Source organism: Homo sapiens, chromosome 1 (genome assembly GCF_000001405.40).
Source record: "Homo sapiens chromosome 1, GRCh38.p14 Primary Assembly".
Classification (NCBI taxonomy): Eukaryota; Metazoa; Chordata; class Mammalia; order Primates; family Hominidae; genus Homo; species Homo sapiens.
The window spans coordinates 37729204-37748100 of record NC_000001.11 but is presented as its reverse complement, the minus strand read 5'-3'; the positions used below and the strand labels follow the sequence as shown (position 1 = coordinate 37748100).

At 45.1% G+C, this 18897-nt stretch overlaps 1 protein-coding gene across 12 annotated transcripts in view, besides 1 other annotated feature; it reads left to right on the top strand.

Moving 5' to 3' along the window:
- Nucleotides 1-18897, top strand: part of EPHA10 (EPH receptor A10) — a 51241-nt gene that overhangs the window by 17020 nt on the left and 15324 nt on the right. For 11 of the 12 annotated variants that reach the window (XR_946610.2, XR_001737124.2, XR_946613.3 and 8 more), the window contains 2 exons: nt 12711-12844; nt 16519-16690. Coding sequence is in view for 5 of the 12 variants with exons in the window: in XM_017001080.1 (XP_016856569.1) it covers nt 12711-12844; nt 16519-16690 (306 nt within the window). In the remaining 7 variants the exon portion in view is untranslated. Of the gene's footprint in view, nt 1-12710; nt 12845-13350; nt 13522-16518; nt 16691-18897 lie in introns of those variants that run through there. The other variant, XR_001737125.3, reaches the window with a different exon arrangement.
- Nucleotides 12249-12748: an enhancer, noted in NCBI's record as "H3K4me1 hESC enhancer chr1:38201025-38201524 (GRCh37/hg19 assembly coordinates)". NCBI's record gives its function as "activates a minimal SCP1, AML or CMV promoter by ChIP-STARR-seq in primed H9 embryonic stem cells {active_cell/tissue: H9 hESC(primed)}" and the evidence as "EXISTENCE:reporter gene assay evidence [ECO:0000049][PMID:30033119]".

Sequence of the window (18897 nt, the reverse complement as noted above, 5' to 3'; positions counted from 1 at the left end):
AGGCGTGAGGCACTGCACCTGGTGGTTTGATATTTTTAATCTTTACTGTAACGTCTTGATCAGTTTTATAAATTTGTGCTTTCCTAGAAAATATTTTGGTGTTCTTTTTCTAATTTATTATTAGAAATGTATATACATTTCCTCAGTACCTGGAGTTAACTTCACTTTCTCTTTCTTCCTGTTGTATGCTTGTGATTTCTGTCTTTTTTCTTAATTATCCTTGCCAGAAGTTAATTTTACTGGTTATGACACAGAATCAGCTCTTGAACCTATCAATTCCATTGTTCTTTACTTTCGTCACTTATTTTATGATTTATTATTATTATTATTTTTGAGATGGAGTCTCACTCTGTTGCCCAGGCTGGAGTGCAGTGGCACCATCTCAGCTCATTGCAACCTCTGGCTCCCAGGTTCCAGTGATTCTGCTGCCTCAGCCTCCCAAGTAGCTGTGATTACAGGTGCACGTCAGCATGCCCGGCTATATTTTATGATTTTATCTTTATTAATACCACTCTCCTGCTTTCCTGAAGTTTTTTTTTTTTTTTTTTGAGACAGTTTCACTCTGCCTGTCACACATGCTGGAGTGCAGTGGCATGATCTTGGCTCACTGCAACCTCTGCCTCCTGAGTTCAAGCGATTCTCCTGCCTCAGCCTCCCAAGTAGCTGAGATTACAGGTGCACACCACTACGCCTGGCTAATGTTGTGTTTTTTGTAGAGATGGGGGTCTCACTATGTTGCCCAAACTTGTCTTGAACTCCTGGACTCAAGCAATCTACCTGCCTTGGCCTCCCAAAGTTTTGGGATTACAGGTGTGAGCCACCCCACCCAACCTCTGAAGTCTTTTTCTAGGCAAGTTCAGTGCTTAGTTATTTTTTGTTTAAATTTTTTAAAGCTATGAGTTTTCCTCTGAATATAGCTTTGTCACTTCCAATACATTTGATACATGATATTATCACATTGTTAGTATTATAAGGTTTTTTTAGGTATAATTCATGTAACATAAAATTCACCCTTTTGAAGTATACGGTTCAGTGATTTTTCATATATCCGCATAGTTGTGCAACAAGTGCTATCTAATTCTAAAACATTTCATCACCCTGAAAGGAAACCCATTAGTCACTCACCATTCCATCCACCTCCTCTAGCTCTTGGTAACAACTAGGTCTTTCTGTTTCTATGGATTTGCCTCTTCTTGGCATCTCAATACATGGAATTATACAATATGTGAACTTGCATGTCTGGCTTCTCTCACTTAGCATAATGGCTTCAAGTTTCATCCATATTGTAGCACGTATCAGTACTTCATTCCTTTTTATGGCTGAATGACATTCCATTGCATGGATAGACCACAATTTTGCTTATCCATTCATCAGTTGATAGACATTGGGCTGTTTCCACATTTTGGCTATTATGAATAATACTATTATGAATATTAATGTATTCATAATACATTAATGAATATATGTTTTTGCATAAACATATATTTTCAGTTTTCATGGCTATATACCTAGGAGTAGAATTGCTAAGTCATATGGTTATGGACTGAATTATGTTACCTCCAGATTCATGTGTTAAAACCCTAAACCCCAATGTGACTATATTTGGAGAGAGTCTCTTTAAGGAGGTAATTAAGGTTAAATGAGATATAAGGGTGGGCCCTAATCCATTAGGACTGGTATCTCTATAAGAAAAGGGAGAGACACTACCCGGTGTGGTGGCTCACGCCTGTAATCCCAGGACTTTGGGAGGCCGAAGTGGGTGGATCACCTGAGGTCAGGAGTTCGAGACCAGCCTCAACATGGAGAAACCCCATCTCTACTAAAAATACAAGATTAGCTGGGCATGGTGGTGCATGCCTGTAATCCCAGCTACTCGGGAGGCTGAGGTAGGAGAATTGCTTGAACCTGGGAGGTGGAGGTTGCGGTAAACCGAGGTCGTGCCATTGCGTTCCAACATGGGCAACAAGAGCGAAACTCCATCTCAAAAAAAAAAAAAAAAGAAAAGAAAAGAAAAGGGAGAGACACCACAGCTCACTCACTCTTTGTCCATATGTGCACAGAGGAAAGGCCACGTGAGAATACAGTGGGAAGGTGGCTGGTCAGGAAAACAGCTCTTACCGGATTACAGATCTGCTGACCTCTTGACCTGGGACTTCTAGCCTCCAGAAGTGTGAGAAAATAAATTTTTGTTATGAAAGCCAAAGGTGGCTTTTGTTAGGAAAGCCACCTTTGTTATTTATTTATGTATTTTTTGAGACAGTCTTCCTCTGTCACCCAGGCTGGAGTGCAGTGGTGCGATCTCAGCTCACTGCAACCTCCGCTTCCCAGGTTCAAGCAATTCTCAAGCCTCAGCTTGCCAAGTAGCTGGGATTATAGGTGCGTGCCACCACGCCTGGCTAATATTTGTATTTTTTAGCAGAGACAGGGTTTCCCCATATTGGCCAGGTTGGTTTCAAACTCCTGGCCTCAGGTGATCCACCTACCTTGGCCACCCAAAATGCTGAGATTACAGGTATGAGCCACCATGCCTGGCTTGAAAGCCACCTTTGTTATTAAAGGTCTGTGGTTTCTTTTTATGGTAACCTGAGCTGACTAATACATATAATAACTTTTTAACTTTTTGAGGAATTACCAACTTTTTCAAAGCAGCTCTACCATTTTGCATTCCTACCTGCAAAGTACAAGGGTCCAAGTTTCTCTGCCTCCTCACCAATACTTGTTATTGTTTGTCTTTTAAACAGTAGCCATCCTAGCAGATGTGAGGTAATATCTCATTGTGGCTTTGATTTGCATTTCCCTAATAACTAATGATATTGAACATCTTTTCCTGTGCAGGGTTTTCTTTTTGTCATTAAGTTATATTATAACTATAGATATGTATTACAGACACTAGACCCTTGTGTTCATTTCCCAGGGTTGCTCTAACAAGGTGCCAAAAAACTGGCTGGCCTAAAACAAATGTATTGCAAAATCAAGGTGTCGTCAGAGCCACGCTGCCTCTGATGATTCTAGAGGAGGACCCTTCCCTGCCTTTCAGCTTCTTATGTTTCCTGGCAATCCTTGGTGTTCCTTGGCTCGCAGACGCATCACTCTAGTCACATGGCTGTCTTCTCCCTGTGTCTTCACATCATCATCTCTCTAGGTGTTTTTCTCTGTGTTCAAATTCTTCTTTTCATGAAGATGCCAGTCATATTGGATTAGGGCCCACACTAATGACCTCATTTTAACTTGATTACCTCTGTAAAAATAAGATCACATTCTGAGATGGGAAGTGGTGGTTGGGACTTCAACATATCTTTTTTGGAGACACAATTTAACCCATACAAACCTTGTCAGATACATGATTTGTGAATATTTTCTCCCACTCTGTGGTTTGGCTTTCACTTTATTGAGAATAGCCTTTCAATCACAAAAGCTTTTAGTTTCTTTTTTTTTTTCCCCAAGATGGAGTCTTGCTCTGTTGCCCAGGGTGGCGTACAGTGGTGCAATCTTGGCTCACTGCAACCTCTACCTCCTGGGTTCAAGCGATTCTCCTGCCTCAGCCTCCAGAGTAGCTGGGACTACAGGTGCACACCACCACATCCAGCTATTTTTTTTTTTTTAGATGGGCTGGAGTGCAGTGGCATGATCTCTGCTCACTGCAACCTGTGCCTCCTGGGTTCAAATGGTTCTCCTGCCTCAGCCTCCCGAGTAGCTGGGATTACAGGCACACACTGACGCACCCAGCTAATTTTTTTTTTTTTTTGTATTTTTAGTTGAGACAGTTTTACCATGTTGGCCAGGCTGGTCTCGAACTCCTGACCTCGTGATCCACCCGCCTCAGCCTCCCAAAGGGCTGGGATTACAGGAGTGAACCACTGTGCCCGGCCAAAAGCTTTTAATTTTGATGAAGTCAAATTTATTTATTTCTTCTTTGGTTGCTTGTGCTTTTGGTGTCATCGCTAAGAAACCATTGCTTAGTCCAAGGTTAACATTTCTGTGTTTTCTTTTAGTGTTGTAGTTTTGAATCAAATTATTTTAGAGGATGTGCTTTTATTTCCAGATGACTTGCTTTTATTTTGTTTGTCTTTACGTTGCTGATTGTAGTGCTTCATGGAGGTTTGTACGTGGTAAAAATTTTTAAACTATTTCATGGCTACTTTAAAACAATGTGCACTATTTTATGGTGTAGTTCTTTCTCTCTCTGTCTTTATATATCTATATCTATCTATATATACACAGATGTTCCTCAACTTAATGACGGGCTTATGTCCCATTGGGCTTATTATAAGTTGAAAATATTATAAGTCAAAAATGCATTTAATGCACCTAGCCTGCCAGATATCATACCTTAGCCTAGCCTACTTTAAACATGCCCAGAACACTTACATTAGCCTACAGGTGGGCGAAATCACCTATTTTACAATGAGTATTTTACACTGAGTATCATGTAATTTATTGAACACTGTACTGAAAGTGCAAAAATAGAATGGTTGTATTGCTTTTACACCATGGTAAAACAATCATCAGTTAAACCATCACGAGTTATTATTCAGTTGTGGTTCCTTCTTATTTTTTACTTGATGTTCCAAAGACTGAGAGGGGTTCATTTTGCATTCTGTTTGTGATTTTGTTAAAATTCCTTGTATTTGTAATGAATTTTATTTTAAATATTTCAATTTTGCTGATGCACTTTTAGTTTCTTCACCCAGCCCTTCTCAGTTTCTCCATTTTTATCTCATCTCGTTTCTTTTTCTTCTCCACCTGTTTTCTCCTTATGACCTTCTGTACATAGTTGGTGGAGGCTGTGTTTTCTTTCTTCTTAAAGTGCCAGAGCGTTTTACTTACTCTCTATCATATTAAATCACTTTTCAAGATCTACTTCTCCTGAGTCTTCAGAATAATGTTCCTATTCTCTTATTCTGAAATATTTTTTCATATACCCAATTTCTGGTATTTTCTGTTTACTTGTTCTTGAGTAAGGAAATAGCTGGTGTTTGTCAACAACAACAAAAAAGATGCGTGAATTGCCCTTTGAATTAGTTATGAGGTTTTCAGCTGCAAGTAACAATAAATCTCAGTCTAACTGATTTTATTTTATTATTATTATTATATTATTATTATTAGAGACAAGGTCTTACTCTGTCACTCAGGCTGGAGTGCAGTGGCATGATCATAGGCTCACTGTAACCTCAAATTCCTGGGGTCAGGTGATCCTCCCGCCTGAGCCTCCCAAGTGGCTAGGACTGCAGGCATGCCAACATGCCTAGCTAACTTTTTTTTCTTTTTAAATTGTTTTGTAGAGACGGAGTATTGCTATGTTGCCCAGGCTGGTCTCTAACTCCTGGCCTCAAGCAAGACCCCCATCTATGCCTCTCAAAGCTCTGGGATTATAGGCATGAGCCACAGTGCTGGGCCCTAACTGACTTTAACTTAAATGATTTCTTAGCTCACATAAGAGGGCTAGAGTTAAAGCTTGGTTCATTCAGCAGCTCAAAAGTGTCCTCAAGGACCTAGGTTTTTTCTGTCTGTCCACTCTGCCATTCTCATCACATAGGCTGGTTCCCTCATGGTAGCAAGGTGGCTGCAGCAGCTCCAGACATCACATCCTTACCATTCAGAGGCAGAAAAAGAACTGTTTCTTCCTTGCAGGTATCTTTTTAAAAGCAAGAAACTTTTCTCTGAATCCCCTGTCCCCAGCTAACTTCTTTTGTTGGCCAGAACTGGATTGTAAGCCCAACCCTAAACCATTCACTGGCAAAGGGAATGAGTGCACACAAATGTCTTAGAACAGCCAGAAGTTACCCAAGTCACCTATGGGGAGACAGTAGACTATGAACCAAAAATTCAGCTCAGCTAGCAGGAAAGGGGGACAAGGCTGTTGACTAGGTTTCCAGTACTATCTGCTGTAACTTTGGCCCCACTTGGGTGCTGGCTGATTCCCATCCCAAATCTACAGCTGGAGAGCCGGTGCTTGGTGTTAGTTTTTAGCTCCACTAGCAGGATTTATCAGGCTTTCATCTAATTATCTCTTCGGAGCTGAGATGGAACCATCTTCTACCTCTCTATCCTGGCCATCTGATGCTTTCCACAAATGTAGCTCAAAAATGGACATTTCTAGCCTCCTTTTCCATCTCTGCCCCATCTGTATTCGCAAGGAACTTTGCCACCTCCTAGAATGCTTCATCACTCCTCTCGCCTTTGTGCTCAGGCCTTTTCTGGGAGCTGCCGTCTCAAAGTGAATTTTGGCTGAGAAGCGCCCCCGGGGGATAGGGAAGAGCACTCTTCCTCGAAAGCAGCTCTGCAGTAGAGTGCTGGCTGTGCATTGTCCACTTGACAAAGACTTGGCTTTTTTTTTTTTTTAAAGGGTCAGACACTGAAGGGAGGAATAAAGGATTTTTTTGAGTTATTTTTAGAATGGGAGGCAATGCCACTCTGTGGGCAGTGTAGCCTAGGGGTTCATTACAATTGCACTTTTTGATCTAGTCCCACTGCCTTGATCATAAGTAGAAATGTGCCACTCTACTCTCCAGCCCCCATTCTGGCGATCAGCTGTCAAGACTAGTTTATGGTGATGGTGTAGGTTTTCAACTCTTACTGTGTCTTTATGTTTTAATTGGAATTTGGGAAAGACATGGAGTGGAGGCTGCTAGATATATATACCATTTAAGACTAGAAGCCACATCCACGCACTTGTCAGAGCCTGAGCCACCTACTCCGTTTCCACTTTCTTGCTTTATTACTATCTGATCGGTACTTTCCTCAATCCCCTGAAGGCACCGGGAACGTCCACTTTATGAAAGCCAGTGGGAAGTTTGAATCATCATCTTACTCTGTTGTCTCCTCTCAGCGTAAGACATGGCCCAGCGCCAGCTCCTCTTGCTGGAATGCTGGTGCTGAGCACTCGCTCAGTCCCTCATAACACATTACTTCATAAAATTCCCACAGCAAGCCTAGGAGGTGTCATCATTGTTCTCATTTTACACACGGGGAAACTGAGGCTCAGGGAGTAAGATCACTTGCTTGTGGACCAATAGTGGGCTAACCACTGGAAAAGTCAGGAGGGAACCTTCCTAAATGTTCTCTTCCCTGGGCTTCCATCACCTTGCCCACCCTTGGTCTTCCTCCTGCCTCTCTGGCTCCTCCTTGTCAAGCTTCTCTTCCTTTGCCTGTTTCTTAATTGTTGGCGTGTCTCAGGCTTATTCCCTAAAAGCTTTTCCTCTTCTCTTTTTATGCGTTTTCCCTGGACAGTTTCATCCCTTCACCTTATCATGGCTCCTGCATCTCCATTTTTCTCCCAGACACCTTTTCTGAGCCCTGGAACCATTTCTCCCACTGCCCTCCTGGCATCTTCTCTTGGAAACCCCTTTGCCGAACACTAACCCCAGGCCTTATTATCTCCCGTATATGTGTGTATGTGTGTGTATGCTGCTGTTCATCTGACATCATCCAGACTGGCGGTTCTCAAACTTGTCTGCACGCTGGAATCACCAAGAAACTTAAAAAATAAAGCAACTGGCTGGGCACGGTGGCTCACGCCCGTAATCCCAGCACTTTGGGAGGCCGGGGTGGGCGGATCATGAGGTCAGGAGATGGAGACCATCCTGGCTAACATGGTGAAACCCCGTCTCTACTAAAAATACAAAAAATTAGCTGGGCGTGGTGGCGGGCACCTGTAGTCCCAGCTACTCGGGAGGCTGAGGCAGGAGAATGGCGTGAACCTGGGAAGTGGAGCTTGCAGTGAGCCGAGATCCCGCCCCTGCTCTCCAGCCTGGGTGACAGAGTGAGACTCTGTCTCAAAAAATAAACAAATAAATAAATAAATAATAAAATAAAATAAAAGCAACTAATCCCTGAGCTCCAGCCTACAGAGATGATGATTTGTTTGCTCTGGGTTGTGACCTGGGCAACATTTTTTTTACTGTAAAAAACACATAAAATGTATCATCTTAACCCATTTCACATGTATAGTACAGTAATGTTAACTAGATACGTTGTCCAAAGGATATAATTTTTTTCCTTTATTTTTATTTATTTATTTTTTTTGAGACTGGGTCTTGCTGTATTGCTTAGGCTGGAGTGCAGTGGCAGCCTTGACCTTCTGGTCTTGGGCAAGCCTCCTGTCTCAGCCTCCCACGTGTCTGGGACCACAGGTGTGTGACACCATGCCCAGCTAATTGTTTGATTTTTTGTAGAGACAGGGTCTCACTTTGTTGTCCAGGCTGGTGTTGAACTCCTGGGCTCAAGCGATCCTCCCACCCTGGCCCTCCCAAAGTGCTGAGATTACAGGCATGAACTCCAATACCTGGGGTGTAGAACTTTTTCATCTTGCAAAGCTGAAATTCTGTATCCAGTCAACAACTCCCCTTTACCCCCACCACCCTCCCCTGGCAACTACCATTCTACTTCCTTTTTTTTTTTTTTTTTTTTTTTGAGACAGGGTCTCACTCTATCAACCAGGCTAGAGGGCACTGGTGTAATCTTGGCTCACTGCAACCTCCACTTCCTGGGTTCAAGTGATTCTCCTGCCTCAGCCTCCCAAGTAGCTGAGATTATAGGCACACACCACCAGGCCTGGTTAATTTCTGTAATTTTAGTAGAGACAGGGTTTCACTACATTAGCCAGGCTGGTCTTGAATTCCTGGCCTCAAGTGATCTACTGGCCTTGGCCTACCAAAGTGTACTGGGTTTACAGGTGTGAGTCACTGAGATTATAAGCATGAGTCACTGCACCTGGCCTACTATTCTACTTTCTGTTTCAAAGAGTTTGACTACTTTAGATACCTCACATAAGTGGAATCATGCAGTATTTGTCTTTTTGTGACGAATTGTTTCACTTAGCATAGTGTCTTCGAGGTTCATTCATATTGTAGCATATAACAGAATTTTCTTCTTTTTAAGGACTAATATCCTGTTGTATGTTTACACCATATATTCTTTTTTCTTTTCTTTTTTTTAACTCTTTTTTATTATTATACTTTAAGTTCTAGGGTACATGTACACAGCGTGCAGGTTTGTTACATAGGTATACAAGTGCCATGTTGGTTTGTTGCACCCATCAACTCGTCGTTTACATTAGGTATTTCTCCTACTGCTATCCCTCCCCCTACCCTCCACCCCGCGACAGGCCCCGGTGTGTGATGTTCCCTGCCCTGTGTCCAAGTGATCTCATTGTAAAACTCCCACCTATGAGTGAGAACATGCGGTGTTTGGTTTTCTGTCCTTGTGACAGTTTGCTTAGAATGATGGTTTCCAGCTTCATCCATGTCCCTGCAAAGGACATGAACTCATCCTTTTTTTATGGCTGCATAGTATTCCATGGAGTATACACCATATTTTCTTTATCCATTTATCCACTTATGGACATTTAGGTTGCTTCCACCTCTTGGCTGTTGTGAATAATGCTGCAATGAACATGGGTGAGCAGTATCTCTTCAAGACCTGATTTCAGTTCCTTTGGATATATGCCCAGAAACAGGATTGCTGGATCATATAGTAATTATAATTTTTTAAGGAACCTCCATATTGTTTTCCATAGCAGCTGCACCAATTTACATTCCTACACAATGGTGTACAAGGGTTCCAATTTTTTCATGTCCTTGCCAACACTTGTTATGTCCCATATTTTTGGTAGTGGTCATCCTAAAGGGTGTGAGGTGATATCTCATTGTGATTTTGATTTTGATTTCCCTGATGATTAATGATATTAAGCATCTTTTCATGTGCTTCTTGGCCTTTTGTATATCTTTTTTTTTGAGACAGAGTCTCACTCTGTTGCCCACGCTGGAGTGCAGTGGTGCGATCTCAGCTCACTGCAACCTCTGCCTCCCAGGTTCAAACAATTCTTGTGCCTCAGCCTCTGGAGTAGCTGGGATTACAGATGCATGCCACCACGCCCAGCTAACTTTTGTATTTTTAGTACAGACGGGGCTTCACCATGTTGGCCAGGCTGGTCTCAATCTCTTGACTTCAGGTGATCTGCCCCCTCGGCCTCTCCAAGTGCTGGGATTACAGGCAAGAGCCACCGCGCTCAGCCTATATATCTTTTTTGAAGAAATGTCTACTCAAGCTGGTCTGAGTGCAGTATTGTTTACAACTAACTGATCACAACCAGTTATAGATTTCTTTGTTCATCTCCACTCCCACTGCCTCGCTTGATAGCAAAAAAAAAAAAAAAAAAAAAAAAAAAGCCTACAGTTATTTGGTCTTTGTTGTTGAGTTCTAGACATTCTTTATACATTCTGGATATTAACCCCTTAGATAAATGGTTAGCAAGCATTTTCTCCCATTTCAAAGACTGCTTTTTCACTCTGATTATTGTTGCCTTTGCCCTGCAGAAGTTTTAAAGTTTGATGTAGTCTCATTTGTCTATTTTCGTTTTTGCTGCCTGTGCTTTTGGTGTCATATCCAAGAAATCATTGCTGAATCCAGTGTCATGAATCTTTTCCCCTGTGTTTTCTTCTAGGAGTTTTATCATTTCAGATCCTACATTTAGGTCTTTAATCCACTTTGAGTTCATTTTTTGCATATGATTTTAGGTGAGGGTCCAACTTCATTCATTTGCAGGTGGATATCCACTTTTCTCAGTGCCATTTGGTGAAGAGACTATCCTTTCTGCATAGCATAACCTTGGTACCCTTGTGGGAGATCATTTGACCATACATGGAGAGGAGTTATTTCTGGGCTCTGTATTCTGTTTCATTGGTCTATATGTCTGTACCATATTGCTTTGATTACTGTAGCTTTGAAATATGTTTTGAAGTAAGGAAGTGTGAGGACTCTACCTTTTGTGTGTGAGTGTGTGTGTGTGTAGGTTTTGTTGTTGGTTGGTTTTTGTAAATGATGGAGTCTCACTGTGTTGCCCAGGCTGGTCTCAAAATGCTGGCCTCAAGTGATTCTCTCACCTTGGCCTCTCAAAGTGCTGGGATTACAGGTGTGAGCCACTGCCTCTGGCCCACCTTTATTTTTCCTTCCCATGATTGTGTTGACTATTCATGGTCCTTTTAGATTCCATATGAATTTTAGGATGTTTTTTCTATTTCTGCAAAAAATGCCTGGGATTTTGATAGGATTGCATTAAATCTGTAGATCACTTTTGGTAGTAGAGACATTTTAACAGTATTAAGTGTTCTATTCCATGAACACAGGATGCCTTTCCAATTATTTGTGTTTTATTTCATTTCTTTCAGCAATATTTTATAGTTTTCTGTATAAAAGTCTTTCATCCCTTTGGTTAAGTTTATGTCTAAGTATTTTATTATTTTTGATGCTATCGTAAGTGGGATTGTTTTCCTAATTTCCTTTTTGAATTGTTCATTGTGTATAAGAACACAACAAATTTTTGTGCATTGGTTTTGTATTTTGCAACTTTGCTGTATTTTGTTTATTAATTCTAAATTTTATTTTATTTTTTTGAGATGGAGTCTTGCTCTGTTGCCCAGGTTGGAGTGCAGTGGCGCGATCTCGGCTCACTGTAACCTCTGCCTCCCAGGTTCAAGTGATTCCCCTGCCTCAGCCTCCCAAGTAGCTGGGACTACAGGCGCGCACCACCATGCCCAACTCATTTTTGTATTTTTAGTAGAGACGGGGTTTCACCATGTTGGCCAGGATGGTCTCAATCTCTTTTTTTTTTTTTTTTTTTTTTTGAGACAGAATTTTGCTTTTGTTGCCCAGGCTGGAGTGCAATGGCACGACCTCAGCTCACTGCAACCTCCACCTCCCGGGTTCAACTGATCTTCTTCCTCAGCCTCCCAAGTAGCTGGGATTACAGGCATGTACCACCATGCCTGGCTAATTTTGCATTTCTTTAGCAGAGACAGGGTTTCACCATTTGATCAGGCTGGTCTCGAACTCCTGGCCTCAAGTGGTCCACCTGCCTCGACCTGACGTCAAGTGATCCACCTGCCCGGCTGGTCTTGATCTCTTGACCTCATGAACCACCTGCCTCAGCCTCCGAATGTGCTGGGATTATAGGCGTGAGCCACCACGCCTGGCCTAACAATTTTGTGTGTGGAATCTTTAGGGTTTTCTACATATAAGATCATGTCATCTGTAAACAGAGATAAATTTCCTGCTTCTTTTCCAGTTTGGATGCCTTTTATTTCTTTTTCTTGCCTAACTGCTCTGGCTAGAACTTCTGGTATTATGATGAATAAAAGTGATGACAGCAGACATCTTACCTTTTTCCTGATGTTGGAGGGAAGGCTTCCAGTCTTTCACCATTGGGTATGATGCTCACTGTAGGCTTTTCATATATGGCCTTTATTCTTTTGGGATAATTTCCTTCTATTTCTAGTTTGTTGAGTGTATTACCTCTTGACCAGACCATTGGAATCGTTAAGAAGCAGGTCCTTCTGCCTCTAAATGCTCTCTTATGTCTCCAAGCTGCAGCAAGTATAGAAAGAGCCTGGAGGATTAGAGCCGACCACCATGAGAGAAGCTGGGCTGTAAGGGGTGGGCAAGCAGCAGAAGGCCTAATGCTTTTCCCTCTATGGGACAATGAAGAAAAGGGCTGTGGGGGCAGAGGTGCTTCTTTCCTCTGGTCCCACAGACTCCTCTCCTTTGGCCATGCCTCTCAGTCAGTTCCCTAGCCCCGCCCACAGCCCGTTAGACCACGCCCCAGGCCTCTCTAGTCCGGTCCCACAGCCCCGCACGCCGCACCCTCTTCCCCGCACCCCCAGCCCTGCCGTGAGGTGGGTCAAGGTGGAGAATCCCACGTAACTTACTTTCAGCGCCCTGGGAGGAGGATGAGATCCGCAGGGACCGAGTGGAACCCCAGAGCGTGTCCCTGTCGTGGCGGGAGCCCATCCCTGCCGGAGCCCCTGGGGCCAATGACACGGAGTACGAGATCCGATACTACGAGAAGGTGAGTGCGTGTCTGGGAGGGACCTGGAGCCTGCCCCGCACCTGTCCCGCAGGGCTTCTGGTTCTTCAGGCCATCCTCCCAGCAAAAGCCCTCGTTACTCCCTTTGTAAACATAACCACCCGTCTCCTAGGGGCCCCAGGCTCGAGTCTCCCCCTCCTCCCCCGGACTCCTGCTCTTCCTCCCTCCGCTCAGGTCTATCTCCAACACCAACCATCTCCATTGTCCCCATGTCACCTAGTGTTTCGGTTGACAAAGAGCTTTCTCTGGGGCCCGGTCCAGATTTTGTGTGGCTGAATCTTATACGTATCATTTGTAGAGCCCTTTTAAAGAAAAAGGACACAGAAAGATCATATCATTTCTAATTTTACAAAAGTGCCTGACCATGGAGCACATTGCTGGGTGTGGTGGTGTGCTGGTAGATATTTAACAGCCAGCTTTCCAGAACAATAAATGTATGAGTTATTATAATTCCAGTCATATAAAAAAGTGTAGCACAGCATTTACAGTGATAATAAAATATGTTCAGAACTCTTGATTGTGAACTCCATATGGCCAATTGATCCCCATAGGATACTTGTGCTGATTTTTGCTGACCTCTTGTATCCATTGTCAATCTGTGGTTGCAGCTTAGCTGTGATGTAACAAATGGAGTCACATCCCAATCTGCTCTTTTCCCCGTAAGTTTATTACCTTTATTATTTATTTATTTATTTATTTATTTTGAGACAGAGTTTCATTCTTGTCACCCAGGCTGGAGTGCAGTGACATGATCTCGGCTCACTGCAACCTCCGTCTCCCAGGTTCAAGTGATTCTCCTGCTTCAGCCTCCCAAGTAGCTGGGATTACAGGCATGCACAACTACACACAGCTCATTTTTGTATTTTTAGTAGAGACGAGGTTTCATCGTGTTGGCCAGGCTGGTCTATATCTCCTGACCTCAGGTGATCCACCCGCCTTAGCCTCCCAAAGTGCTGGGATTACTGGTGTGAGCCACTGCACCTGGCCAATTTATTATCTTTAAATCTGATATGCAAACTACTGTTAAACTGTTTCTCACCTTGGTGCAAATTATATTCACTGAAGTGAAACCTCTTTCAGCTTCTACATGTGTCAGAACTTCACTCACTCCTCAATGACATGAGGGACTCCTTTGCTGAAAATAGTTTTTGAATACTGGAAGTCTGTTGAGACCTGTGAGTGTTGGGGATGAGTGGGAAGGAGGAGAGAGTCCTGAGTCACTGCTGGGTGTCTGACCTGGGTAACCCAGAGTCTGAGGTACCACTGACTGAGATGGAGAAGCACTGAGGTGGAAGGGCAGGCTTGGAGCAAGGTGATGAACCTGGTTTTGCTCATCTAGCATTCAGGGGGCCTCTGGGACACCCAGGTAGACTTGCAGGTCTGAAGCTTAAGGGAGAGGCCTGGCTTGGAAAGGGAGAGAAAGAGAGAGAGAGAGAGTGAGAGTGTTGGGGGCTCTCAGCATAGAGACAGTAGCTGCTGCCAGGGGAGAAATTGGGGGAGAGGAATGAGAAGGGGAATGTGTCTGAGAAGAGTGGCCAGGACAGAGCCCTGAGGAATGCTGATGTTTAGGGAGAGCAGCAAAGGACACTGGGAAGCAGGTGCTTAGAAAGGACTCACTGAATGGACTTTGAGGATCAGGGTATAGACAAGAGCCCCAAGGTTGAGCTGGGTGGATGCTCCCAGGTTGTTGGGCATGAAAACCCTCAAAAAGAGGAGCAAGGGCCAGGCTCAGTGGCTACCACCTGTGATTCCAGCACTTTGGGAAGCTGAGACGGGAGGACGGCTTGAGGCCAGGAGTTCAAGACCAGCCTGGGCAACAAAGTGAGACCGCCACCTCTACAAAAAAGAAATTAGCCAGGCATGGTGGTGTGCGCCTGTGGTCCCAGCAACTTGGGATGCTGAAGCAGGAAGATCGCTTGAGCCCGGGAAGTCGAGGCTGCAGTGAGCAGTGGTTGCACCACTGCACTCCAGCCTGGGCAACAGAGCGAGACCCTGTCTCAAAAAAACCCACCAAAACCCCCAAAAACAACAAAAAAGAAGGAACAAGTCCGGGCGTGGTGGTGCACGCCTGTAATCCCAGCACTTCGAGAGGCCAAGGCAGGTGGATCACCTGAGGTCAGGAGTTCGAGACCAGCCTGGCTAACATGGCGAAACCCAGTCTCTATTAAAAAAACAAAAATTAGCCAGACATGGTGGTGGGTGCCTGTAATCCCAGCTACTCAGGAGGCTGAGGCAGGGAGAATTGCTTGAACCCAGGAGGTGGAGGTTGCAGTGAGCCGAGATTGCACCACACTGCATTCCAGCCTAGGTGACACAGCAAGACTCTGCCTCAAAAAAAAAAAAAAAAAAAAAAAAAAAAAAAAAAAAAAAAAAAAGAACAAGTATAAAAGGGCTATATTTGAAAGGCTTCAGTGTACTCTCATGGAGCCTGCTGAGTAGAAGCCTTGCTGGGCCACTGGACCTGGGCGGGTGTCTGGCAGCTCCCCTCTGGAGCCACAGTGCTGCTCATCTCAACCTCTCTCTGCACACCAGTCCAGCCCATGATGCAGAGGGGCTTGCTTACGGCACGTTGCCAATGCCCAGGTAGGCAGCCTTGCTCCTTCCTCCTCTCTGCCCCTAGCCTGCCCTACCTTGTGGGTCCTGAAGCCACTGCTTCTCTGTCTTTCAATGGATTGTTGAGATGCCTGGAAGAGAGATTCTGATTGGCCCAGCTTGGGTCAAAGTCCGTCCCAGTTCCTGAATGCTATGGTCAGAAAGCTGGAGCCACCGAATATCAGTGGGGAGAATAACTTTCTGGGGCTGTGGATATGGCAGGGCCTCTAATAAGGTGTGGGCAGGGACGAAACGACGGGAGGAGCATCTCTAGTATGCCATTGTCAGGTGTGTTGGGGTGGAGCGGGGGGCAGCATGATGTCGAGCAAAAAACACGGGCTCTGCAGGGATTCAGAGGGTGCACCAGCCCCTTCCTTGATGTGAACCTCACCTAAAAAGGAGATGGAAATGCTGACTCCACAGGGCTGTTGTGAGGCTCACAGGAGGCAAAGGGTCTCATGCAGAAGCTGGCACTGAGTAGGCGCTCATCAGTGATGGCTCCAGCTGGGGCCTTGGGGGAGTCTTTACCCCTCTGAACTGGGTTTCCTTATCTGTGAAACAAACAAACAAGATAATACTTTCTGTCCTCTGAGCCTTGCAGGACAGTTGTGAAAAATCAGACATCGAGGAAAGGAAAAGCCTTGTGGGCCATTGGGGGCTTTCATGTGTCAGGGCTCATTCTCTCATTCTGTCCTTTGAGGCTTCAGGCCTGCCTAGGGCACTGGCTCAGCTTAGCCTGGATGGACAGGCCCTGGTGGCCCTCATCCTATCATCCCCCGGAAGGAGGATCTGGTGTCTTCTCTAAAATTTCTCTTATGCAGAGGTGGTGCTATTCTCAGCTACAAGTGCCACCGAGTGTGGGTGGGTGCTTGTGGTGAAGACAGGGGCTAAGGATCCAAGGAAAAGATCCCTGGGAAACCCCAAGATGATTGAGGTTGGGTTTTCGCACTCAGCCCACATTCACGTAAGGGCGCTTCTCCTGCCTCCCTGTTCCTGTTCACCCTTTGTTCTCCTAGAACAGTGGATCTGGCGCTGGTGGGCTTCACTTCTTGATCTCTCTCCAGGGTCAGAGTGAGCAGACTTACTCCATGGTGAAGACAGGGGCGCCCACAGTCACCGTCACCAACCTGAAGCCGGCTACCCGCTACGTCTTTCAGATCCGGGCCGCTTCCCCGGGGCCATCCTGGGAGGCCCAGAGTTTTAACCCCAGCATTGAAGTACAGACCCTGGGGGAGGGTAAGTAGTGTGTGTGAGTGGACAGGGACCTAGACAGAGAGAACCCTGCACGGGGCTGAGGTAGGGAGACAAATAGAGGGGGAGAGTTATCTGGAGTTATCTGTGCAATGAAGGGAGCCTGCAGAACAGTTTAATTAATTACAGCCTAATTAATTAATGACTTTGAAATCCACTGACTAATGCCTGTTCACCGACGTGAATTAGATTGGGAAACTGTCCTGGAGGAGCTCACAGGAGAGGGATTTGTGAACAGCTATAACCCATGTCTCAGCTGGATAGAGACTCAGTTTGGATAGAGACCCAAACATGGGACACTGTCCCTTTCCCCACTAGGCCTTAGAGCGTGATGCTGACTTCACTGAAGGTTGATGGACATGAAGGGGTTGCATTGCAGTGATAAACACAAAAATAAGGATTGCGGCCAGGCGCGATGGCTCACACCTGTAATCCCAGCACTTTGGGAGGCTGAGGCAGGTGGATCACCTGAGGTCAGGAGTTCGAGACCAGCCTGGCCAACATGGTGAAACTCCTTCTCTACTAAAAATACAAAAATCAGCCGGGCGTGGTGGCGGGCACCTGTAATCCCAGCTACTCGGGAGGCTGAGGCACAAGAATCACTTAAAACCGGGAGGCAGAGGTTGCAGTGAGCCAAGATTATGCCACTACGTTCCAGCCTAGGTCACAGAGTGAGACTCTGTCTCAAAAAAAAAAGAAGGATTGTGTAACTTAAGTGGGTAAATCACATGGTATGCGAACGATATCTCAATAAAGCTGTTACCAAAACCAAACAAAAACTGGAAATTGAATATCCTCATCTGAAAACATCTCCGGCTTCTCCGCAATATTGTGCTTTCCTCCCTCCTCCTTTACTTCCCTCCCCTGGTTCCTCTTCTCCCCACCCACTGCCCAATTCCCTGATGTGTGCACAGCAGTTTAGCTGTCTTGTTGCTTTGCCTGCTGCTAACCTGGTCCTCAGGATCTCACCTCTATCTGCCCTGAGCAGCTCATGAAAATATTTTCCTGAACAAAGGCAGTTCCCCCTAAGAGGCATTCTGGCACCAGCTGTCAAGATAATAATTCTTTCCAACCTGCTACATGACTCTAATCCAAGATAGGAAGAGCTCTGAGTCCAAAGGGAAGTGAAGATAAAATGCTGAAGGGGTCTGAGTTCTGGGAAGGAAGACCACACTTCTCGCCTGAATGCAAAAAGTGTCAGACCTCGGCCAGGTGCTGGAAAGAGAAGATTATAGCTGGGGATCATTTGAATGTGTACAGATGGGCAGGGAGGCATTCTGGGGAGAGGAAGCTATCTGAACAAAGGCGGGCAGGTTTGGCTGGAGTGGGCGTAGTGGGGGCAGGAGCTGGGGACCGTCAGTGGAGAAGGGCTGATGGTCTCCATTCATTGGGTACCTCTCAGATAGTAGAGACTGCTGAGATCCCCAGTCTCCCTTCTTGTGGCCCTGGCTATGGTTCTCCCAATCTGCAGAGTGTGGTTTCCCATGAGCTGTGTCTCCAAATTGAGATTTTTTTTTTTTTTTGAGGTAGGGTCTTACTGTGTCACCCAGGCTGGAGTGTAGTGGCACAATCACAGCTCCCTGCAGCCTCAACTTTCCAGGCTTAAGTGGTCCTCCCACCTCAGCTTCCCAAGTAGCTGAGACCACAGGCGCTTGCCACCATGACCAGCTAATATTTTTACTTTTTGGGGGTCTCACTATGTTGCTCAGGCTGGTTTCGAACTCCTGGGCTCAGGTGATCCCTCCACTCGGCCTGCCAAAGTGCTGGGATCACAGGTTTGAGCCACTGCCCCCCGCCTTCCAAAGCAGGATCTTTTTCTTTTTTCTTTTTTTAAAAAGAGCGATGGAATCTTGCTATGTTGCTCAGGCTGGTCTCGAACTCCTGGGCTCAAAGCAATTCTCCTGTCTTGGCCTCCCAAAGTGTTAGGATTACAGGTGTGAGCCACCATGCCCAGCCCCAAATCAAGGTCTTGGTGAACGCTTATGCGTCACCACTGTGCTAGTTACCTATTGCTATGTAATGAGTTGCCCCAACATCTAGCAGGTGAAAACAACAAATATTTATAATCTTATGTTTCCATGGATTGGTAATATAGGTGCCTCTCAGCTAGGTGCCAGTGACTTAGGGTCTCTTCCAAGGCTGCCGTCAAGTTGTCCTCAGGGGCTGTGATCATCTCGGGGCTTAGCTGGGGG